General features: G+C 37.0%; 1 protein-coding gene across 7 annotated transcripts in view; it reads right to left on the reverse strand.

The window, feature by feature from the left end:
• PRKD1 (protein kinase D1) overlaps positions 1-26,622 on the reverse strand; it is a 351,369-nt gene that overhangs the window by 35,235 nt on the left and 289,512 nt on the right. For all 7 annotated transcript variants that reach the window (XR_943493.3, NM_002742.3, NM_001330069.2 and 4 more), the window contains 7 exons: positions 24,577-24,781; positions 22,705-22,828; positions 21,156-21,233; positions 19,029-19,308; positions 17,328-17,380; positions 14,771-14,843; positions 12,439-12,545 (listed from right to left, as the gene is read on the reverse strand). Coding sequence is in view for 6 of the 7 variants with exons in the window: in NM_002742.3 (NP_002733.2) it covers positions 12,439-12,545; positions 14,771-14,843; positions 17,328-17,380; positions 19,029-19,308; positions 21,156-21,233; positions 22,705-22,828; positions 24,577-24,781 (920 nt within the window). In the remaining variant the exon portion in view is untranslated. The remainder of the gene's footprint in view (positions 1-12,438; positions 12,546-14,770; positions 14,844-17,327; positions 17,381-19,028; positions 19,309-21,155; positions 21,234-22,704; positions 22,829-24,576; positions 24,782-26,622) is intronic.

The raw sequence follows: 26,622 nt of genomic DNA on the forward strand, positions 1-26,622 counted from the left end.
AGAAAGAGAATATTAAAAGTGTGAATTATTACCAAAAAAAAAAAAAACAAACGCTGGAATCTACATGAAGCTGTTTAATGGTTTATAAAAATTGAAAAATGGAGCAAATATCTGGATTTTTCTTCTACTTGGCATCAAATGTCTGGAAATGAAGACATATGGAAAACTTTTTATTTCCTGTTAATCTACCTGGCTGGAAACAGTAACACAAAAATCCAATCTAGGCTTGGCATTAGATTTTAAGTGTAATTTTTGACAAATCCTATTACTGTAGTACAGCTTCTATATTTAGATGTCAGCACACCAAAAAGCATAACATTCCATGATATGCTAAATAATGTGTGCAGACACATAATCCTTCGGATGTATTATATACCAGATAATGGTAACTAAAGTGAGCATGTAGGGTCTACTGGACAAGGTTAGATGACAGAATATCATGTGCAAAAAGTCAAATGGTAATACCTTACATCTGTATAAGGTTCTGTGGCAAAATGAGTTTAACTAACATATTCTTAAAATTAAACAAGTTTTCAATTATGGGATTTCTCAGAATTGTTAATAAGTAAAAGGCTATGTTTACTTCTAAGACGTGAGTGACCTGGATACAGTACATACACAACATTTTCCAAATTTTCTTGATGAAAAAATGTGTTTTCACCTCTTCTGTGAAGGGGTTCAAAAGACTAGCGTTCTTTGAAAAATATGCTGGGAAATAATGATTTTTAAAATGCTTTATATAGGAGTTAATTTAGTCCCCAAAACACTCCTATGAAGGAAATAGACCAAGTCAGCATGATTTCTAATGCACAGTTAAGGAAACCAGGGTGGAAAGAGATTTACTAAAAAATGGAAAATTTTTACTTGAAACCTAGCCTTTTGACACTAACTTTTTACGATGATTTAACTTCTGACAGAATATCTATTTGGAAAATTTTCTAAATTAATTTTCTTTTTCTTATAATAGATAGTTGTTTTCCCTATTTTAGACATATATACATAACCTATACAGTTTATTTTGGAACATGCAAAAGACAGTACGATTTCCTTAGAGCTCCAAAACATGTCTTGCCTATAGAAATAGTTTCATAAAAATTCATGTAGGGCGGGCACGGTGGCTCACGCCTGTAAACCCAGCACTTTGGGAGGCCTAGGCGGGTGGATCACGAGGTCAGGAGATCGAGACCATCCTGGCTAACAAGGTGAAACCCCGTCTCTACTAAAAATACAAAAAATTAGCCGGGCTTGCTGGTGGGTGCCTGTAGTCCCAGCTACTCGGGAGGCTGAGGCAGGAGAATGGCGTGAACTCGGGAGGTGGAGCTTGCAGTGAGCCAAGATCATGCCACTGCACTCCAGCCTGGGTGACAGAGCGAGACTCTGTCTCAAAAAAAAAATTCTTCATGTAATATAATGCAAGGAAAGAAATATTTGAAGAAATATAGTACATATTAGATGAAACAACAAAAATATAAGCCAACATCTCAATACACACTGAAAGAGAAAGCACCCACATTTTGCACGTTTTCCTCTAGAGAAATAATTGACTTATTTGTGATTTAAAAAGAAGTCTCCAGTTTCCAAAAATTTTCATTTTCTTGTGCACACTTAGCAACATTATTCTCTGGTTTTCTGTCATAATTATCTCCTCTCTACTTACTCCTGATCATCCAGAAGATAAATATTTAATCTTGTTCCATGAAGACAAGTTACTATGTCTTTTAAACAAAAAAAAATGATGGTAAGAAATGCTTTATTCCCTTATTGCCATGCCCTGCAAATCTGTATCCTCTGGTTTCTTCAGTTGTGGCTACATATTTCATTCAACAAATATTTACTGAGTGCCTTCCAGGGGCCAGGCATTATGCTAAGGCATGTTCAGCCCCACTCCACTTAAAAATTTTTCTTGCCTTTAAACTTTCTTCTGTGTAATACATAAACCCAAAATGCTGATCTGATCATAGCAATTTCTTTTTGAAAACTTTTCAATAATTCATCATTGCCCAGGCACAATAAAATCCAACTGACTTGGTAACATATCAAAGGTTCTCCATGAACCCACAGTAAGCCCATTTCCTGGTCTTATCGCAGGCTTTGTCCCACTAAAGCAGTCTCCAATCTAAGGAAGGCATACTCTTGGAGAGCAAAAAGATTTTTTATGAGATATGTGAGCACAGAGATGGTTTTAAGAAAATCTATTTTGTTTACATTTGTATCCCTACTATGTGGAACATGCTGGGCATTCAATAATTATACTTTGAATGAATGAATGCATGAATGAATCCTAACAGTCCACACATACTCTTCTAACACAGATCTGTCTAAGAATATCCTGTGGTCTGAAAATTTTCCATCCCCAAGTTTGCTTTCATGATGATTTTTCTCCAATTTTCTAAAAGGAAGGCATGGATGTCATACATTCCAAATATTACTAGGGTGCTTTGCCATGGGGAGAAAAATACTTTCTTCCATGGGGAGAACAATAATGGGAAAATTTGAAATACTGTGTTGGTATAAAGTGAATGACCCCATTGAATTGGAAATCAATTCTTTTGCAACTTACTTTCTAATTCGTGCTTTCAACAATAATAAAGAAGGATTTAATGGATTTATAAACAGAGGGAGAATAAAAATGAACTACTGAAGATAAATATAAATCACTGAGATTTTTCTTTTTGTTTACAACTCAGCTCCTACATTTTAAAAAAAGGAATAAAATTATTTCTGAGCCCTGTCTCACTTGAGTAATAAGTAATATTCACTCACCAATTTATGAACTAAATTTAATTCGATTTCATTAAATAATGTATTTCCAGTAATATTTTAATTTTTGTTATACAAGCATAAAGATTTACAGAATATTTATCTTACTGAATAATATCTATATAGTTATATAAGTAATAAGTGACAACAGTTATAATAATAAATTAGTCATGGAGAATATTTTAGACATTTAAAATGTTGCCATCAAGAAATTTAAAAATATACACATATATTTTTTTTTTTGAGACAGAGTCTCACTTTGTCACCCAGGCTGGAGTCAACTGGCACGATCTCGGCTCACTGCAACCTCTGCCTCCAAGGTTCTCGTGCTTCAACCTCCTGTGTAGGTGGGACTACAGGCATGGGGCACCATGCCCAGCTAATTTTTTTTTTTTTTTTTTTTTTTTTTTGTATTTTTAGTAGAGACAGGGTTTCGCCATGTTGCCCAGGCTGGTCTTGAACTACTGAGCTCAGGCAGTCTGCCCGCCTCGGCCTCCCAAAGTGCTTGGATTACAGGCCCGAGCCACTATACCCAGCCAATATACACATATTTTTATTGCAAAGAATTATGAAAGGTAGAGCAAGAAAAGACTTTAAAGTATAAAAACACATTACATTGAAATATAATTCTGTAGGGAAAGTGGAATAGGCTCAAGGAAAACAAGGAATGTTGCAAAATGTACTGTTGTTAAAGAAAAGCCTATTCATGTATTTAAAAGAATAGTTAATAAAGGGTATCGAATGTCTATAATATTTATATTCTAATGGGTACATTTAAAGGAGTGATATGACAGCTTTATTGTCAAATACCAATATTTTCCATCCACTAGAAAAATTAAAACAATTTTTGACAAAATAGTGCTAGATACCAACTTAAAAATACACAAGGAGGTACAAAGCTTCAGAATTCTTTTTGAGTTCAAATGAAGAAAAATGTTTGAAGATCACTCTTTTAAAATAATCCAAAGTTTGCTGCTCAGCTTTTAAAACCTGTTTATGTTGCTGAGGTGGTTGCTCGGCCTAATGGCCCTTTCCACTGTTTCTCTGGCTATGAAAAGCTTATGAATCTTCCCAGGTTTTGCCAATGCCGGGCTTCTCTTCGAAGCTCTCCCTGATTCCAACGCTCTGGAATCTGTGGTAATCCATGACTTCCTCCACTGTGCTTCCACAGCGATTCTGACTTCTAACTACTTGTATCTGACTGCCCAAATAGAGTATGAACATCTTAAAGGGTTTTATTCATGTTTATACGGCCCAAAGGCTCAGCAAATCACTTTGTATAAAGGAATGAAGGGCTTCACAGGTACTGTCGAATGACTTAATATTTTCATTAATTGAAGGAAGAGTTCTTGCCTAAGAAATTGAAAGAATGATAGCAAAATACACAAAGGGAGAGAGTATCTTGTGGGGAAAAACATTAGGGTTACGTGTTTGGCTTTAGGCTGATTGGTTTCGGGTGAGGGCAGTACAGCAAAGTGGAGATGTCCTAAGGATGGAAATGTGAGACTGAAGTGCCTGTGGAAGGCTGGACTTCAAGAGCTGTATTAAGCAATGGCCTAAGAGATGACAGGTGACTCTCTCAAAATGGATGACCTCGCTCTGGAAATGAGCTTCAAATGTGCGTAAATCCTTTAGATAAATGGAGGGAAACGTTTAGGAAGATAGAGGAGCTAGCAAGGAAGGAAAAATTGGATCTTGTAAGTACAGGGATGAAGTGAGAAGAGAGATTTAAAAAGGAACAAGTGAGCCTTAGAAATCAAGAGTATGGCCAAAAAAAAAAAAAAAAAAAAAAGCCATGTATTGCCATGTATTTTCTTTAAGAAAGGTGTAGAAACCAATGACAAGAGGGAAATTTATAAACAAGAAATGAAAGAGGAGCAGAGCACAAATTTGAAGTGTGGGAGAGATTTGACTATAGCTATGAGACGCAGCCTAGATAAATCAAGACCACATTTTGTTGTTATCGTTTATGGTTTTTTTTTTTCCAAGAGACAGGGTCTCACTCTGTTGCACAGGCTGGAGTGCAGTTGTGTGATCATAGCTCACTGCAGCCTTGAATTCCCAGGCTCAAGTGATCCTCCTGCCTCAGCCACCCAAGTAGCTGAGACTACAGGTGCACACTACCAACCGACTTAATTTTTTATTAAACAATACAGATTTATTACCTTACAGTCTGGGGATTAGAAAACAAACACGGGTCTTACTGGACTAAAAGCAAAGGGTTGGCAGGGCTGTGTGGCTTTCTGGAGGTTCTAGAGGGGGATCTCTTTTCTTCCCTTGAATTTGAGTACCAAAAATACTATGTGAATATTTCACACCTTTTTAAAATATTTTCTTTTAGGTTCAGAGATACATGTTACATAGGGTTTGTTATATAGTTGAATTGAGTGTTGTAGGGGTTTGGTATACACTTGGTTTCATTATCCAGATAATAAGCATTAGTACTCAACAGGTAGTTTTTCAAACCTCACCCTCTTCCCATACTCCTCCCTCAAGTAGGACCTAGTATCTATTGTTTCCTTCTTTGTGTCCACATGTACTCACTATTTAGTTCTCACTTATAAGTGAGAACATGCAGTATTTTGTTTCCTGTTCCTGTGTTAGTTTGCCTAGGAAAATGGCCTCCAGCTCTATCCATGTTGCTGCAAAGACATGATTTCCCTTTTTTATGGCTGTATAGTATTCCATGGTCTTTATGTACCACATGTTCTTTATCCAGTCTACCATTTTTCACCATTTAGGTTGATTCTGTATCTTTCCTATTGTGAGTTGTGAGTTACCTCTAGGCTTGTCTCTAACTTTTAGCCTCAACTGATCCTTCCACTTTGAGAGGGATTATAGGTGTGAGCTGGGATTATAGGTGTGAGCTACTGTGCCCAGCCATTGTTCTGTTTTTAAATGAAGACAGACTTGGATGAGAAGAGAATATAAACCAGAAAAGTAGAGGTAATTTTATGAGATAAATACAGGAGAATAATTTATGACCCATAAAATTCATTTTTTCTATATTCTGTATTCTATATTCAGTGCTTTTAAAATTCCAAAATGCTTTCATTTATTATAAATAGGAGCTCTAGTATTGTTCTAGTATCGATAAATGAAAGTTGCAATACAAGAAAAGGAGAAAAATATTAGTGAATCCATTAGAATTATATGTACACATATTTTTCTTAACCTTTATATGCACTGTGATATTCTAAAGTTAGAAAATAAAAATTAGTTTTGGCTGAACAAGTCTGTTGATTTAAATTATAAAATACATTAAATATATCATACTAGTGTTATTTGCTTTAGATTTTAACCTTCTAACTGGCCTGGTGCAGTGTCTCATGCCTGTAATCCCAGCATTTGGGGAGGCTGAGGTGGGAGGATGACTTAAGTTCAGAAGTTCAAGGCCAGTCTGGGTAACATAGAGAGGCTCCATCTCTACCAAAAATAAAAAAAAAAGTTAGCCAAGCTTGGTGGGGCATGCCTGTAGTTCCAGCTCATCAAGAGGCTGAGGTGGGAGGATTGCTTGAACCTGGGTCAAGGCTGCAGCGAGCTGTGATCACGCCACTGCATTCCAATGAGGTAACAGAGTAAGACCCCTTCTCCCAAAAAACAAAAAAGCTTTTAGGTGCTCGAAGATATATTTGCATGTCCTTATGAAGGTCAGTTTTCTGTGATATCCTTAATAATCACAAAACATCCTTTTATTTTTATCTTGACATGAATAACAGAAAATTCAAAAACAATATACATGGGATGATGGAAATTTTATGAAATAAGCTTAATATCTACATTCATTTTTTTTTTTTTGAGATGAGTCTCACTCTGTCATCCAGGCTGGAGTGCAGTGGTATGATCTCTCCTCACTGCAACCTCTGCCTCCTGGAGGGTTCAAGTGACTCTCCTGCCTCAGCTTCCTGAGTAGCTGGGACTACAGATGTGCACCACCACACCCAGCTAATTTTTGTATTTTTAGTAGACATGGGGTTTCACCGTGTTGGCCAGGCTGTTCTCTAACTCCTGACCTCAGGTGATCCGGCTGCCTCAGCCACACAACGTGCTGGGATTCCAGGCATGAGCCAGCACACCTGGCCAATATCTACATTAACTAACACCCGTCTGAAACATAATAATAGTGAAGTATTTACAGATAATGAAAATAGAGCTATTCCAAATGGCATGAGATGTAAATGATATGCCATAAGACTTAGACTTGCCTTAACTTCAATTATTCAAAAATATCTAAAGAGCTTAGTGTTTTGATGATTAAATCAGATCTTGGAAAGCCTCCACCTAAGTTATATAGAGAAAATGAAATGGAAAAAAAAAAAAGGAGAGCTGTACCTTTTCTCACATTCCCTATTTACACAACTTTGAAGTCTTCTATCAGCTCAGGTGCTTTTTCCCAAGAACAGAAACAAATCAAAATTTGATCTGAGGACCTAGCAGAGCTGACTGAGGAGGATTTTGCCCCATTGGCATTTCAACCCACATGGTCCCCTCTGGAGAATGAGGAGGAGGAAGGGGGAGGGCAAAACTTGTTAGGCCCTACTAGGGCACCAGCTTCTATAAGCTAGAGGACCACAAAGTAGAAGATACCAAATGCTTCTGGATATTGCTTTTATATGCAGAGGAATAGAATTTTATTTCTCAAGATTAGTAAAAGAAAATCTTCCTCTCCATTCAATTGACTTCAATCACGGTACTTTTTTTTTTTAACAGATGAGAGTTAGTGAGTTGCAAGCCAACCCCACTGCCATCCCCATTACTATTTTGTCTCTTCAGGTTCAAGATGGTGAGCTCTAGTTTTAATAATAAATATAAAATGACACAATGAGGGTTTTTGCAGAGCAAACACACATAATCCTTTTTAACTAACTAACCAGCCTTTTGCTACCTGGTTGGATACTATGGATGTCACCTTATAAGATGGTGTTTCTGTACAACTTTAATTAATTAATTCAACAAAAATTTATTTAGCAGCTAATATATGCCAGGAACAATTTCTGGCAGTGGGGATACATTAGTAAACAAATCAATGTTAACTGTCCCCCTGAAGTGTGTATTCTAGTGGTAGAGCCAAGGTTGAGAGTGGTGAGAGGAACTTGCAACAAATATAATAAATACAATTCTATAGTAGGTTAGAAAGTGATAACTGCTACAGAAAACAAAACAGATCAGGGTAAGAGAAGTATGGAGAAGGGGGTTTGGACTGCAATTTTAAATAGGGTGTTAGAGTAGTGCTCATGTATCTGTAGAGAGTGATATTTGAGCAAGGACTCAAAGTAGGTGAGCTTAACTTCACTGTCTCAGGATACTGAATTACTATTTTTACTGAGAGACTAATGTATCTGACAATGGTAAAAAGGACTTCAAAAGGGTTTCTTTCAGCCTGCATCACCAAGTCAATCCTAAGCCAAAAGAACAAAGCTGGAGGCATCACACTACCTGACTTCAAACTATACTACAAGGCTACAGTAACCAAAACAGCATGGTACTGGTACCAAAACAGAGACATAGATCAATGGAACAGAACAGAGCCCTCAGAAATGACGCCGCATATCTACAACTGTCTGATCTTTGACAAACCTGAGAAAAACAAGCAATGGGGAAAGGATTCCCTATTTAATAAATGGTGCTGGGAAAACTGGCTAGCCATATGTAGAAAGCTGAAACTGGATCCCTTCCTTACACCTTATACAAAAATTAATTCAAGATGGATTAAAGACTTAAACGTTAGACCTAAAACCATAAAAACCCTAGAAGAAAACCTAGGCATTACCATTCAGGACATAGGCATGAGCAAGGACTTCATATCTAAAACACCAAAAAGCAATGGCAACAAAAGCCAAAATTGACAAATGGGATATAATTAAACTCAAGAGCTTCTGCACAGCAAACGAAACTACCATCAGAGTGAACAGGCAACCTACAAAATGGGAGAAAATTTTCGCAACCTATTCATCTGACAAAGGGCTAATATCCAGAATCTACAATGAACTCAAACAAATTTACAAGAAAAAAACAAACAACCCCATCAAAAAGTGGGCGAAGGACATGAACAGACACTTCTCAAAAGAAGACATTTATGCAGCCAAAAAACACATGAAAAAATGCTCATCATCACTGGCCATCAGAGAAATGCAAATCAAAACCACAATGAGATACCATCTCACACCAGTTAGAATGGCAATCATTAAAAAGTCAGGAAACAACAGCTGCTGGAGAGGATGTGGAGAAATAGGAACACTTTCACACTGTTGGTGGGACTGTAAACTAGTTCAACCACTGTGGAAGTCAGTGTGGCGATTCCTCAGGGATCTAGAAGTAGAAATACCATTTGACCCAGCCATCCCATTACTGGGTGTATAACCAAAGGACTATAAATCATGCTGCTATAAAGACACATGCACATGTATGTTTATTGCGGCACTATTCACAATAGCAAAGACTTGGAACCAACCCAAATGTCCAACAATGATAGACTGGATTAAGGAAATGTGGCACAGATACACCACAGCCATACTATGACTAGAATACTATGCAGCCATAAAAATGATGAGTTCATGTCCTTTGTAGGGACATGGATGAAATTGGAAATCATCATTCTCAGTAAACTATCGCAAGGACAAAAAAAAACAAACACTGCATGCTCTCACTCATAGGTGGGAATTGAACAATGAGAACACATGGACACAGGAAGGGGAACATCACACTCTGGGGACTGTTGTGGGATGGGGGGAGGGGGGAGGGATAGCATTAGGAGATATACCTAATGCTAAATGATGAGTTAATGGGTGCAGCACACCAGCATGGCACATGTATACATATGTAACTAACCTGCACATTATGCACGTGTACCCTAAAACTTAAAGTATAATAATAATAATAATAAAAAGGGTTTCTTTCTTTCTCTCTCTCCCTCTCTTTCTCTCTCTCTCTTTCTCTCTTTATTTCTTTCCCTCTCTTTCTTCCTTTCCTTTCCTTTCCTTCTTTTTTGGTTCATTTTCATTTGGGGGACATGATTAGTTTCCTATTCTTGATGAACATATTTTAAAATAATTGGCAGTTTTATAATAAAGTATGAACTACTGAACCTATTATCTGTATATGATTAAACCAAGCCTAGACATGACCCATTGTACAGGTTATGTGATTGAAAATTCGGTACATAAATATGTTGCAAATATCCAACTCAGCATAACTGAGCATAGCTGAGTGATATAATTTAAAGACCCATGACAGCAAAGAGCTGTGTGCCTTTGTCTGTGCTGTATCTACTGAACCTAGAACAGTGTTTGGCTCATAATATGTACTCAATAAATACTAGTTTGATGAATGAGGCAAAGAATGATTAGGGGCAGTGGGATTGAGTATAAGTAATGGAGATGTTTGAGATTTCAGGCTATCAGAGATGTCTGACCTTTTCATATGGTCCAGGAGCAGAACTGGACTTTCAACCTAACCAAACTCTTTAGAAAACCTTATTATGATGAAGGATTTTCCAAATGTATATTTATTGCATCTGAGTTGTCTGCATCTAATATTTTAGAGCCGTGGTCCCCAACCTTTTTGGCAACAGGGACAGGTTTAGTGGAAGACAGTTTTTCCATGGGAGCATGGAGGGGGCGGGCATTTAATTCTCATAAGGAGTGCACAACCAGAAGATCCTTCTCTTGTGCAGTTCACAATAGGGTTTGCACTCCTATGACAATCTAATGCTGCTGCTGTTCTTAAGGAGGCGGAACACAGAAGATAATGCTTTCTGGCCCACCGCACACCTCCTGTTGTTCGGCCCAGTTCCTAACAGGCCACGTACAGGTACAGGTCCACGGCCTGGGGACTGAGGACCTCTGTTTTAGAAGAGGAATAGGGAGGTAGTTTATACTTCAGGTGTATTTTTCTCCCTTCCTTCCTTCCTTCCTTCTTTCCTTCCTTCTGTTTTTATTATTTTTTTTTTTTTTAGGAATCTCACTCTGTTGCCCAGGCTGGAGGGCAATGGCACGATCTTGGCTCACTGCAACCTCGCCTCCCAGGTTCAAGTGATTCTCCTACCTCAGCCTTCAGAGTAGCCGGGACTACAGGCACCTGCCACCACACCCGGCTAATTTTTGTATTTTTAGTAGAGATGGGGTTTCACCATGATGGCCAGGCTGGTCTCAAACTCCCGACCTCAGGTGATCCGCCCTCCTCCGCCTACCAAAATGCTAGGATTACAGGCGTGAGCCATCTCGGCCGGCCTTATTTTATTTTTCTACCTCTCGAGTCAGTAGCTGATACTGTGTTGACAGACTTGGGGAAAGCCAATTAAAAGGCCTAGACACAGAAAATTAGAACCCCAATATCTAGTCAGTTTTCTGCAATTGCAGTAAAATATAGAAAGATGTAACCATGTTAACCATGAAGCTCTCTTCTCCAATCCTATAATGAAGAATAAATATCTCCTGTACGCATGCTAACTCTGTATTCCTTCCCTGCAAAAGTATCTTCCTTCAGAAGACCACAGTGCGTGGAGACTGGAAGTGCAAGGGCCAGGTTAGGAAAGATGTCATTTACTAGAGTTTCAGATGTCATCTGCACCTCAATGTTGCCAGTTGTTTGTAACTGATTAGCAGATACTAAGACATGAATCCATTAATTAGTATCTTCACATCCATGGTTGTTTTCTTCCCCATGTAAGCAGAGAGCATTGTGAGTCCTCTGTGCTCCATTAGTTGTCCAGAGACACAAAAACATCATCTTTAGAAATTCTGAGTCCCAGAAAAGTCTATGTTATTTTTCTATGTTTAGCAGGCAATATTTGTGGCTGTCTGTGCACATGAGCTCCCTTAGGACAGAATTCATATCTTTTTCAGGTTTTTATCATATGAAACTCAATAAATGGCAGTTAAATGAAACTATAAATGAAGAAATGAAATGTTCCGTTTTGCGAAAAAAAATTGTCCGTTAAAACTGGGAATTAAAAATTATGACATGCTTGCATGAGAAGTAAAAAATTATGGCAGGTATATAAAAATCGGAATTTATCAATGATCTCAACTGAGTAGACTAGATAGCCATGATGACTACATTTAGCAAATAACTGCTCTATTTCCCTTTGGTCTGCAAAAAAATTTTAATGGTTTCAAAAATTACCTTTATCACATAATACATTTTATTATCAAATTCTGGTTTGAAAAAGGGACTGTTATTAATAAGAGAAGTTAAGTGACAATGCCCGATGTCAAATGAAAGGCTTACAGTGAGAGACAAAGAGGACATTAATAAAATCAACATGATCTGCTTCTCAGACATAGCTCACTCCCGTGACTGATATGCTGACAGTTACATACCCAATTCATGTTATTATCACAGCATAAAGGCATGTTTATGAAGGCAAGGTCATTTGTAATATAAAATAAAATGGTCTCAGCATGTCCACTATGAGCAAATGCTGAAATATTACCCATTTAATGAATATTAATTATATATTAAAACCTACAATTAAATACATAAAAAAGAACAACTGCTGCCTAGACTCAGGAAAGATACTATTGAGGCAAGTTCTGATACTTGATCTGCCATTTCAATTATTTTAAAGTGTTCCAAAATATTTATGCCACAGGTTTTTAGAGAAAATTTATTTGCTTTGCAGAAGTAAAGGATGAGGGATTTTTATACCCTTTCCCCAAATGAGAACCAAAGAAGTACCTGTAGAATTGCAACCTCATTACGAAGCTGGCTTTCTTGTTTTGTTGGAAATCGTAATTTGTCAATGATTTTAATAGCTACATCTCTTCCTGTTTTACGATGTTTTCCTTTAAAATGAAAAAGGGAAGCATTAGTAAGTTATTAAATATCATCTATCTTAAAGAACACTAAAATTTGCAAGGACATTTAAAGAAATGATAAACATATTTCACTGAATAAATTAACATTTCTAAAGAGCACTGACTTACATATATATATATAAAGATTTCATTATTCTAAATCAAATATGTGCTTTAAAAATAGCCATAATTTAGAACGCAAAAGAATTGGGGCATTAAAAGCTATACGTATCAACACCCTGTTTTTTTCATAAAATATATGTTTTAGAAACAGAATATTGAGTTACTTAGTATAGAAAATATTTGTATCACCACCAAATTAACTCCCCTTTAGAAAGTATAATTTTAAAGTCCTGATAAGATAATGTATGTTATAGGGGAAAGAATTAAAGTCTTGGCTCTGTCACTTATTAGCTCTGTGATCTTGAGCAAATCACTCACTCTTTCTGAATTTTAGGTTCCTCATCTACAATGAGGAGAAGATTGGATGAAAGGAGGCATGTAAAGTATACAAAATACCCTGGTAACTATGCACACTCAAAAATGGTTAGTTATCATCATCATCACCATATAATAGGCCCTTTATGTATATTACACCTCATTTAACTACTATAACAAACTTTTCAGGAATTCTACGGAGCACCCCCAAGTTCTTAACTTCTACACTACTATATTGTGGTAGGTACAAAAATGTAGCAGTGTTAATTGAATCTGAAAATAATAAATGAAAATGAATCAGAAAATAGAAATGGAAAATGGATCTAATTACTCAAACTTTTTGGTAACATACAAACTAACTTGAAATTCCAGTCTTCCAACACTTGTAAAGCTAGTGTTCACTCACCTTATATCCCACTCTCACTATTCCTTCTCTTTCCAGACTGCTTCCCTTCACTATCAAATCAGCTTGTGTTCATGTTCTCTACTTCCTTAACATCATTTCTTACTGTTTGATTGACTGCAGTCTCTATTTCAACTTAGCCATTTTCCTGCAAGTACTTTTTTCAAGGCCATGACTTCTTTCATCTCTACTCCTCCGTCACTGTAGTACTTGACCTCTCTTCTGAGACTCTTCTCATCTACTTTACTCCATTTGTGTCTAATCTTAACGTTTCAGTCTTCCAGGTGGCAGCCTCCTCCTATTCCTGGTCTTCAGTGTTGGATGTTCCAAATTATCTGGCATCTGCTGGTCTCTCTACTCTCATTTGTCACCCTTGTCTCACCCCTATACGATGTGCATTATGTATATTTACCATGATCTATCTACCATAATTTTTTTTTGCATGCAACTATTATACTGTAGAGCAGTAATCAAACATTTGGTCCCCTCTATTATACCGTTACGCATTAACAAACGGTACAATGGTTAGTGGCTCATGATAGGTTTCTCATCAAAGAAATCACTGGAGCATTTTATAAGACTCAACATTACATTGTGAAATAGAGTAGAACTTAATTACTTTTTAAATTAAAAAGTACAATATCATATAGTGATAAATAAAATTGAATGGGACATTGTGATTATTTCAGAACACTAAACCTCACCATAAGAAATAATTTCTTATTGATAATATTAAGGAACTGAAAGTTATGAGTTCATTTTACAGGGCAGGTAAAGCATTAATATTAAATATTTTTTAAAGACTTGAAAAATACCCTTTAACTGGCTGGAATCTAAAATAGCAGAAGTTAGAATAATAAACTTACCAAAGAGCTTGACAATAAGAAAATAGGTAAAGACTTGATATTTCACCTCAAAAATTAAAAAAAAATTCAAACCTTCAGGAAACAAATATATTGTTAAAGACACTGGAAAGTTAAATTTTGTTTTGTCTAATAACATGAATGGACTTCTGATCAAGTACGCCAAAAGAAAATGGAATTAATTTGTTTACAAATCACAACTTCCTTGTTTTCTCAATATTTTGTCTGATATTCCAAACTTCTTCAGTACTGTGTGTACAGTTTGCCTATATTAAAGAAAAAATGTTTTTCAGGAATATGAAACCTTCTCTTTCAAAACACACATATCCCAATTTTCCAAGTAGTAACTATCTCAAAAAAATTTTTTAAACGCAGAACACAAAAAGATACACACACAGAAATATATACACATAGGTCTTCTCTTCTATGTTTTTCCTGTAAATATCGCTTTTTAAAATATAACTAGCAAAAATTTTAAGTTCATAAAAATACTCAGTGAGATAACCTACCTCCATAAACAATTCCAAACTGTCCAGAACCCAGTACTTCATCAGGAAAAATCTGATATACTGTGCTGATGTCCTAGAGGTACAAGCCCAATGAAAAAAAAACATGAAGCAGAACAAAACATTAGTCCTAAAAATTAATATAATTCTATTAAATATATTATAAACTAAGTATTTTAAAAATAAATTATAAATGCTAGATGAAATCTGAGATGACTGTAATATTCAAAGCACACTCTTTTTTTTTTTTTTGAGATGGAGTCTCGCTCTGTTGCCCAGGCTGGAGTGCAGTGGCGCAATCTTGGCTCACTGCAACCTCCACCTCCCAGGTTCAAGAGATTCTCCTGCCTCAGCCTCCTGAGTAGTTGGGATTACAGGCACACGCCACCACGCCCAGCTAATTTTTGTATTTTTAGTAGAGATGGGGTTTCACCATGTTGGTCAGGCTGGTCTGGAACTTCTGACCTAGTGATCCGCCTGCCTTGGCCTCCCAAGGTGCTGGGATTACAGGCATGAGCCACCACACTCGGCCTCAAAGCACACTCTTTAATTAATGTAATAACGTAATGTTACGAAAACTGTTCTGATCTTAAGTGGCAGAGGTTTTCTAACGTGCTAGCACATATGTTTCATTAGAAAGAAATATGACTAAAAACCATACAATGTGATTTACTATAAGTATTGAAAAAGATATTTGCCTGTTGAGATGGCTATTTGGAAATGTCATTAAATAATCACGGTTCCCAACCACATGTCTGTGTGAATCCTGATTCCAACCACTTCTCCCTGTATGGCTAGAATGAAAAGGTTGCTCCCTTATTAGTCACCCACATGCAGATGAACCCAAAGTGACAGAAGAGGAGGCTGAATCACTGTGAGTGAGCTGGAGAGGCTGCAGAAGGATGGCAACCTATATGAAATTCTCATCTGTGAAGTAGCTAAACTCGTCCAATTTCATCACTTCGGGAGCTAACAAGTTCCAAAAGTCTAATTCTTTCTCTTTGAAATAATAAGTGCTGAATAAAGCATCTTTTAAATCTATGTTTTATTGTCTGTGATTTCATTCTGATGAAATCACCAGGTAATTCTTTTTTCCCTTATATATTCCTATTACATCCTATCAGATTTTCCAACTATCTTCTACCCTTATACTCTGACTTTATTTTTTTAAACTCCTTCTGCATGTTCTGCACATGTACCCCAGAAGTTAAAGTATAATAAAAAGAAGCCCTTTAATATCAAATCCCACCCTCTCCATATCCTATAAACCCTTATCTTTTTCCTTTGTTCTTCCCCCTAGAAAATAACTACAAGTTGTATCCATCCTGTGATTCTTCAAAGTCCCCACAGGATGAGTTCAACGCTGTCTAGGGACAAGACAAGTAATATTAATACTATTCTATTATTCTGATTTCAAGCTACTTCATCTGTTAAGAGAAGTGTTCTTTAGGCTTTCCGATAACTCAATGGCCGATCCAAAATCTTCAGTGGACAACAGTGGCTGAATAGAGTGGAACAATTCCACAGCTATCAGGAATTTCCCAAGAGGCTTATAGAGTAACTTGTATTTCCTGAAATGTCTCTGGCTAAACAAAGGCAATAGGAATCTGCAGAAAAGAAATTTCTTTAGGAATTTATCTCATGATTGACAGCACAAGAATTTATCTAACCTTCACTATGAAGTTTAACTAGTTCTCTCAAATTCATATTTGGCTGTTTACTTTATGCCACTTTAATGTAGTTTTCAGAAATATAATAAGGATGAATAGAGTTTCATGAAGTTAATTTTCTTAAACAAATTTTTAGAAAGTGTAAGCTGTAAACTGCATTCTTTTGGCCATAGATACAGCAGGTAAAATAGACAAAAGGGTCTGGGTCACAGGAGGAGGTAGAAAAGGCCTTATTACTTTTTGGCTACTTGCCATAGGGATAAAATATAACAAATAAAGCAAACATTTGACGGACTGTAAAATATTTCATAATATGTCTGATCTACAATTTTCAAAAACTGAGCTGCAAGGATGGAGTTACGTGGCGCAGATGACTAGGGTGCTAAAATGAGAACCCGTAAGATTCGATTTATGCAACTTTCTTAAAGTCTCCTTGATGTGTACAAGTGACTATAAGAGCATTTGCAACTCCTTGTCATATTATGGCACTTCTAGGTAGCAACTAAGGAATGAGAACAATGGCATTTTTAAGCTACTCATGCAAATTGAGAAATTTATTTTATTTTGCTCATGTATTTATTTTACTGTGTAATATCAACCATTAAAATTCCAGTACCAAGAAGGGCAAATATGTGAGAAATCAGGCATCACATTATAATTGCCTAGCTGAGAAAAACAGATATTTGGCTCTACATTACAGAATTGATTATAGAAAAATTACTAATCTATATAATTTAATATTTCTAAAATATCACAAAAAAATATCCAAATTCTATTTTGCTTTCCAAAATTTACTAAAAAATTAAAATGAATTAAAAAAACTATTTTATGATGCTTTTATTTTCCAGTAATCACATTAGCAAGTTTTATATTAGTAGGTACATACTTACCACATTTTCTTGAATCTGGCAATTTGATACTGAAATACTCACAGAGATATCTCCTGGAAATGCATGTAAAACAATATGCACACAAAAAGTCAGTAAGAGATGTAATAGCAAAACAAGTAAGTACATGCTTACAAATCATCCTGCAAAAGTGGTTTTAACTAAATCATAGCAATTAGGTTTTTCTAAGAAAATGTCATTAGAATATTTATTTCCTTTCAAAATTACATATTCAACATACTTGTTTTTGAAAAATAATATTTCATCAATTTAGGGTTTGGAGTCAGAAGGACTTGGATTCAAATACTGGCTTTGCTACTTCACAGCTTTGGTACAAGCTTAGACAACTTAACCTCGCTCGAGAGACACTGATTTCTTAAGTTGTAAAACAGGCAAATCGTTAAAGTCTACCTGTTGGAATTCGATTAGGCATTAAAATAGAGGTCTCATATAAAGTGCTTAGCACTAAAATAGGCATATATATTCTATTAATATGTATTTTCGTTGTAGAGATAAATTAAAAAATTATGACAGATAAATGGATAACACTATAATGTAAAAAAACCAGAGGTTAATTCATAGGTTTCATTATGAGTAACTATTATGAAATTTAAAAATAAATGACTTTTTTATAGAAATATTCCTCTAAAATTTCTTCTTTAAAATTTATCCTCAATACTGAATCTAGGTTGCATTTTAGCAAATGTATCTCATTCTACTAATGAACAGAGAATTCTTCCTGGGATAAAGTGATCAAGAATTACCAATTACCATGTACTCTGCACGTCAATACCCTGCACAGAATACTAGGTGAGGTGTTTTTAGGGAAACTTATTAATTCAGATTTGCAAATAACAAGACTTGCATTCCATGTCAAGCTGAAGCTGGCTAGATTTCTTCTTCTTCCTTCTTCCTTCTCCTTCTCCTTCTTCCTTTTCCTCTTCCTCCTCCTCTTCTTCTTCTTCTCCTTCTCCTTCTTCTTCTGCTTCTTCTTCTTCTCCCTCTTCTTTTTCTTCTTGCTCTTTCTCTTCCTCTTCCTCTTCATGTCCTTCTCCTTTCTTCTTCTTCTCTTGCATTCCATGTCAAGCTGAAGCTGGCTAGATTTCTCCTCCTCCTTCTCCCCCTCCTCCTCCTCTTTCTTGCCCAGGCAGGAATGCAGTGGCTTGATCTTGGCTCACTGCAACCTATGCTTCCTGAGCTCAAGCAATTCTCCTGCCTCAGCCTCCAGAGTAGCTGGGACCACAGGCGCATGACACTATGCCTGGCTAATTTTTGTATTTTTTGTAGAGACAGGGTTTCCCCATGTTGCCCAGGCTGGACTAGAACTCTTGGCTCAAGTCCTCCACCTACCTTGGCCTCCCTAAGAGCTGGGTTTAGAGGTGTGAGCCACTGAGCCCGGCCAGATTACTTCTTCTTTTATAACCAATAGCTCTAGAGGTCTGTAATTGCCTAATACATAGTGTTTACCTGAATTTGTTAAATTTTAATATAAAATAGCTATAATAAAATAGGATAATTTAACAAACTAAACATCTTAGTATGTGCAGCAGCTTTTATTTAGACACCCTACATTCTACAATAAACTAAGTCATCCCCAAGAAGTCTTTCTTCATTCTGTTCTTAGGAAGGGCAGGGCACATGTTTACTAAGCAAGGGGTAGGCACATGATGAGCTTTGGGCTGGTTAGAAAACTGGCAGACTCACTGTGCAAGTTGGTTCCTGTACCCACGGAGGAGCCCTTGGGAATGACGGGCATAAGGGCATGCTGGATGGCTATCTCCCACATCCTGGCCACATCTGCACCAACGCCACTGGTGAGAACACTGTTATTTGGTGATGGGCTGGAAGGATTGACCACATTTTCTCCCACATAATACACTACATTTGCCGTAGTGATTTCGAAACAATGAGGATTGGCCCCATTAGGAATTAAAGCTGAAGTTTTTACTGGTTCCAGAGACAAAATTTCAGATAAAGGAATTTCCTGTGAAAGAAAAAAAGTACTAAATGTTGTTTATCAAAAGTATGTAAACTTTCAAAGAAAATTCATGCCAAGAACATGTGAAAAATGACATCACAAATAGCCACCATTTAAATAAAATACTTTTAAACTATAAAACACAGAATACTGCTAAGCAAAATTAAAAAAAATACCTTTACTATGGGAAACCTTATTTCCTTTTTCTAGAAAATGTGACTTTTTATGCTATGTTCATGTGGCGAGAATCAGTATGGTTAGGAAAAATGATTTTGAATCTTCACCAAAATCCAAGACTTAGAAAATAAGCGATAATTTTTGTAACAGTGAGGTAGAATCACAACACTTTTGAAATGCATTTAGGCAGACATGGCTATTTTTAAATTTTAACCTATTCTTTAAGGCACTCAATACATGTTAATGTAATAACATAGCCAAGTGAATAGTTTAAGTGAGGACAACTAGAGATTGGTTTTAAAATGGTCTTTTTTTTTTTTTTTCCAAGAAAGAATCTTGCTCCGTCACCTACGCTGGAGTGCAGTGGCGTGATCTCGGCTCACTGCAACCTCCATCTCCCAGTTTCAAGCAATTCTCCTGCCTCAGCCTCCCAAGTAGCTGGAATTACAGGCACCTGCCACTACACCTGGCTAATTTTTGTATTTTTAGTAGAGACAGGGTTTCAACATGTTGGCCAGCCTGGTCTTGAACTCCTAACCTCATGCTGCCTGCCTCGGTGTCCCAAAGTCCTGGGATTACAAGGGTGAGCCACTGCGCCTGGCCTTTTATTTATTTATTTTTATTTTTGAGACAGAGACTTATTCTGTTGCTCAGGCTGGAGTGCATTGGTGCAATCCTGGCTCGCTGCAAACTCCGCCTCCTAGATTAAGGTGATTCTCCTGCCTCAGCATCCTGAGTAGCTGAGATTACAGGTGCATCCCATCACGACTGGCTAATTTGTGTATTTTTGTAAAGACAAGGTTTCACCATGTTGGCCAGGCTGGTCTAGAACTCCTGACCTCAAATGATCCACCTGCCTCGGCCTCCCAAAGTGCTGGGATTACAGGCATGAGCCACTGCGCCTGGCCAATAGTCATCATTTTTAAGGCAATTCATACTAAAAAAAAGAAATCACTACTGCATCTTCCAGGAAGTATGCAGGGGCTAAAAAATAATAACTTTTAAAACAAAGTTTTAATTTTAAAATTAGTGAGGTTTCCATTTTCTGTGACAGCTATGTAAAATGGCTGTGGAGAATCAAATCAACTATTCCAGAGTCTGCATTCATTTTGAAGGAGCAAGTATCTATTATTTTCTCTATGAAGTTTTTTTTGGAGTTGTGTTTTACTGGGTGATATAGTATGCCACATCTGTATTACTTAATGTAGAGGGACAGAATAAAAATTGCTGCCATTTTTTTCTCTAGAGGAAAGTGCTCTTTGTGAATATTGACAAGCATGGAGAAATCATACAATGTTTCTTCACTCCTAGCAGTGTGCTAGATGCAGTGGATATCAGGAGTTTACTTTGAGCTGATCTGCTGTGACCATTAATTTTCTAGTTAAATCACACTTCTCTGCTAACATATTCAATTAATCTTCACCTCCCTCCCTCTCCCATCATCCCATGGTACCAGAAACACTCCCCAGGGAAATTTAAAATTCACAGAAGAATCAAGAGGTCCCAACCTGAATCCCAAGAAATTTGTAGACTATAGAGAAGAAAAAAAAAATAGTTCCTGGAGGAAGCACAAAAATAGCCACGTTTGTTGGATGTATTTCCTATTTCTTATACTCTACATTCCCATGAAAAAGCAATAAGAGGTATGAAACTACAAAGAAAGAGCCCACTCTTACCTTGTAGTACCTGCTTCCTGTGTCATTCTGAAAGAGGGTAATACATTTGCTATCCAATCTCCAATAGTGCCGTTTCCGCTGAAACAGAAGTTAGATCCAAGATCTTTTTAAAAAACTTTAAAAATATCCCCAATTGAAAACATAAATAGATTTCCCCAATAGGGACATGCGATTTGAGGGTGGAAAGTGCATGGGCTTTGGGAAAGGCAGACTCATGCTCAATTTCAGGCTCTAGAGGTTGACTATTTAGCACATGTCTGATAAGTATCTGCATTTATGTTACAGGGTCGTGAGTAATAAAGAAGATGAAGTATTAGCGCCCAGTAAGAGCCTGGCATTTAGAAAGTGCATAGTAAACAGAAAACATCATTTTTAAGCTTATTTCACTGCTTGAAGGGCTAAAGGTGGATGTATAGTCTATAATAAAATAAGGTTTACTAGGAGATGCAATGTTTATTATGCATGCTCATTATTTTAGGACGTAAGAAATCCCATGCTGATGGAGCCAGGTATTCTTGCTTCCATTGGCAATGGGAAAATTCTGAATGTTAGAGTAGAAGTAAAGAATATTTTGTTGGACAATAAGTTTGACTCCATGACATCAACTTAAAGTCAGGGGAATGCATCAAACAACCAACTCTACCTTCTCTCCAGCTCACTACAGATCTAACCACTATGATTTGATGAACAGGTCCTTCTACACTGTAGGTATATCTTTCAGGATTTTAGGGTGTGTGTGTATTTTTATCTTATAAAAGACCCCAAAGCTCTATGATTCCGCTCTTCTCCTCCACAACCAATTTTAGGCCAGTCAAATATATTAAATATATTACACCATGTCTAAAAAGAACTAGGCGGTATTCAATTGAGTCCTATAATATCAGGTAGGTCTTCTCTCTCTAACACAGATGGTCGAAATTATAGATAGATCAATTAGGTTATAGGTGTCTGCTTATCTGTAGTGATCCTATAGGTAAGAGATGAGAAAAGCAATACAGTAACAGAAATCAGTCAATTGTCAACTTAACTTTGAAACGTGAATCAAGTTGTTCTCTCTTACGTACGTACACAACCTCATTCCTCAACTATTAAGAAAATCTCAGGGTACAGGATTCCAATGTTCCTGAATGGGTCAGTTCTTCAGGGAAAACTTAGTTAAGGACTTACGAAGTATAAGATAGTTATCACTGTTTTATTCTCTGCCTAGAATGCAGTGTTTCCTATAAAATTCTAAATTGCAGTGAAGCATTCTGAAAGCACATACTGTGGCTTCCACAAGTGCTATAAAATGGCAGGTAGACATCTCAGGTAATCAAGGTCAATGAATTTGTTTGCCTGAAATTGCTTTCCACACTTTTTCCTAACTTCGTTGCTTGCTCAACTATATCTGACACCCAGAGACTGTAATGCACCTTACCTAATCCCGTGTCATGCCTGTGCTGAGGTTTACTCTGAGTAATGCAGAAATCTCACAGTCCTCACGGGACATTAGCAACTCCTCTAATTAAAGCTAGCAAGGCAAGAGAACATTGTTCCCTGTGGATCTTACCAGCGTGTCCTTGCTGGTGTAGTGGACCATCCATCCTTCTTTCATGACTGTGCTGCTTTTCCTCTTCGTGTGTTTGACAGACTGCACTACCCTCATGAGTGGGATATTGTTGCTTGTTGATGGACTTGAGAAGTCAAAATATTGTAGGGAAAAAATGTTTTCAGGTACATTTTATGTATTTTCATGCATAAAACCTTATGTCAGCTAATCCAAGTGAAACTTTACAAAATTCACATCTCATGTTTAGTAAAACGTATTGTCAGGCACCATGGTTCTGAAAGTGGGTTACTCTGAAGAGTGATAGGCACGTTGTTTGTACACCTTAAAAAATCCTGGCCGGGTGCAGTGACTCACATCTGTAATCCCAGCACTTTGGGAGGCCGAGGCGGGTGGATCACGAGGTCAGGAGTTCAAGACCAGCCTGGCCAAGATGGTGAAACCCCGTCTCTACTAAAAGTACAAAAAAAATCAGCTGGGCATGTTGGCGGGCACCTGTAATCCCAGCTACTTGGGAAGCTGAGGCAGAGAATTGCTTGAACTCGGGAGGCAGAGGTTGCAATGAGCCAAGATTGTACCACTGCACTCCAGCCTGGGTGACAGAGCAAGACTCCATCTGAAAAAAAAAAAAATTCCCAAGGCTGGGTAATAAGCACCTCATATTTTGGGTTGAACTGTATGGTGTTCAGTTTTCAGGTAAACCTGAGGTAGAGTACTTCTTAGTCTACTGAGGCCACACTATTCAGACTCACACATGAAAGCTTATTTGCTTATTTATTTCCTATTATAGGTACATTATCAATCATTTAGAGATTACATTATTCAACATGAATTTTTAGTTTCTCTGCATAATGTCATAAAAATTGGAATCTGCTAGTCTCTGTTTCTTCCTCTCTTCATCCCTCCCTCCTTGTCCCCCTTCCCACAACATGAATATATATGTAATTCCCACCACTGCCCCCCGGCACCATGCAAACTCTTTGGTACTAAAGAAGTGTATGTCTTCAAAAGACAGGTCACAAGACAATTATTTCCCACTATTTAAAAAATGTTCATTATGCCATTAAATGGAAAAAAACAATCATTTTATTGCTCTACTCTCATGAACAATTTGTTTGTCAATAAACATGGCATTCGTAAAATGGACACAAAAGTTTCAATAGGCTTTATAATATAAATCAGAGACTAGGAAACATTTTCTGTAAAGGGCCAGGTAATAAATATTTTAGTTTTTGCAAAAGACCTAACTTTACCAATATAGTGCAAAAGCAGCCACAGACAATATGAATGGACAGGCTATGTTCCAATAAAACTTTACTACAAATTGGGCAGCAGTCCAATTTGCTCTGGTGGCCACATTGTGCTGACTCCTGATATAAAAAGTGGGGATCATCCAGTAACCAAAAGCATAATTAAATAACAGATATAAAATTGCACATACTTCTGAAATAATATCAAGAACAGTGAAGTGTACACAGACTATGATATTTGTAACAGGGGCCAGCTAATAAAATAGATGATTTCTGCTGAGTTTGATCTTGATTTTTGTTGTTTCTACACAATGAGCTTCAAATTAATATTAACTTAGTAATAAACTTGTGGATGGCAAACATGAGCATCTCTCACATGCAAAAAAAAAAAAAAAATAGTTCAATGAATGAGGTGATGCTGGGAAAGAATGGCAACCACACTTCTCCCAGGGAACCCAGACCTCCTAACTTCAAAGGCTCTCATTTACAGCACGCAGTTCATTCATATAAAAGTAAACGTGCACTTCACATTTCTACTATAATCTATTAAAATATCAAAGAGGTTTAAAGAGAAAATACTGCCTGGGGTTCCCCTGTTGGCTGAGGCTGGGAGTGCTGCTCTCACCTGATGGTTCTGTTGGCGTCCTCGTGGTCTGGGTCTGGATCTTGCATCTCGCCACTGTCGTTCTGGCACTCTGCCATTGCCATCTCTGCATCTTGGACCATTGCTTCTTCCATATCATCCATGAGCCCACTGTTCCTTTCACTATCATTGTCATCACTCCCTTCTTCCATGACCACATCAGACTCTGCCCCAGGGCTAAGCAAATCTAGAAAATTATTTTCACCCATGAAGATAAGCCTGGAATCTTGGAGCCAGGGCTTAAGAGACAGTCAGGTGATCCTAAAACAAATCAATTGGAAGCCCCAAAGAGGTAGTTCTGTGATGAGTTTATTTTTTATTTTTTAACTTTTATTTTAAGTTTAGGAGTATATGTGCAGGTTTATTACATAGGTAAACTTGTGTCATGGGGGTTTGTTGTACAGATTATTTCATCACCCAGGTATTAAGCCTGGTACCCATTAGTTATTTTTCCTGATCCTCCCACCCTCCAACCTTGAAGGGACCCCGTATGTGTTATTCCCCACTATGTGACCATGTGTTCTCATCATTTACCTCCCACTTATAAGTGAGAACATGTGGTATTTGCTTTTCTGTTCCTGTGTTAGTTTGCTAAAGATAATGGCCTCCAGATCCTTCCATGATTTTCAATTTCCTTTTTTATTTCAGTTTATATGCATCTGAGTTTATGAGAGGTTGAACATGTAATTTTATAGGTAGATGCTCGTTTTCCGTTTTCCCAAGCCTGAAAACATGAAAAGTCATGAAAAACCTTGGAAGGAAGCCAAAGCTGGGATAGAAGTAAAATGCTAGAAGGCAAAGTGATACCAGGCCCAAGTGACTGGGAAGCTGCTCATATTTTAGAAGCACAGCCCTGGTGGGAAAAAAAAGTATGTAAGAGGATGACAGAAATTTTCACATGAAAAAAGATTCAAGCCACTGATTCTTACTATTGGAGTAACTTTGAAAATCACGAATTCCAATATATTAAATTGGTCACATAGCTGCAGCTTTTAAATAAGACATTTGATATTTGAAGTAATATTGAACCTGTCATTATACAGTTGATGGTAATGGCAAAAATTAAAATTACTTACTAATGCAAAGTACTCATTTTAAAATGAAAATACAGATTAATGAGAGACTCTAGCCTGCCAAGCTTGGAAAATTCACATTTTACCAGATTTTTCTGAATGTATAAGAAAATAGAATTTCAAAGTAATCAACAACATCAAAAACTGTTCTGTATCCCCTTAGTTATAGTTATCCAGTACACACTGACATTCCCTGAGCCTGAACAAAGTCAACACCACATGCCACAGAAAGTGGGACGATCGCCAAGCTTTCAATTTTGGCAGCTAATTCATGAATCTCCAAGCCAGAAACAAGTGTGACAATGTTTTCCTGGAGAGCTCTTCCTTCTTCTTCTTTTAGGTACAGTATATATTTCTTCTAGAGAAGAAAGTTCTAGAGCAAAGATAGTCATTCTTCAGCTTCTTAGCAACAAAAATATTCAACTGAAAGTATCTGTGATCTTTTACAGCCATTTTCCTTTCCAGAGGAATTGGAAAACTGGTATCAGGCTAAAGGTATAAAGACCACTATCTGCAGAAAAAGCTAACCTGGGATTCTAAGTCAAATATTTTGGTAGTGATCCATTAGAATGCTACCCAAGAAGAAAATGTAAGCTCTTTGCTTAAGATATGGCATTTTTCTTAGCAGTCCTTCGAAGTTAATTTATACAGTTAGAGTTTTCTTGAAGGAATATTGCCAAATACAGAAAATACATCTATTTTTTTTTGGCTGACAAAGTTCCTTTTATTATTAAAGATGATTGAAATGAGAAGGACAGAGGAAAAGAGACTGAGAGCTATAACTTGTAGGCAGCCCAACAACATCCACATTTCTGGGCAAACTAGGATAAGAATATAAGATAATAAAACTGGGAAATAAATTATGGCTACCCAAGTTTTCAATACTAGCTGCTCACCATGTAAAGATCATGAAAGGGTCTTTGACTGTTATCAAAACTCCATGGATGCTTTTCTA

The sequence above is a fragment of the Homo sapiens genome, chromosome 14 (genome assembly GCF_000001405.40).
Source record: "Homo sapiens chromosome 14, GRCh38.p14 Primary Assembly".
In the NCBI taxonomy this organism is placed as follows: domain Eukaryota; kingdom Metazoa; phylum Chordata; class Mammalia; order Primates; family Hominidae; genus Homo; species Homo sapiens.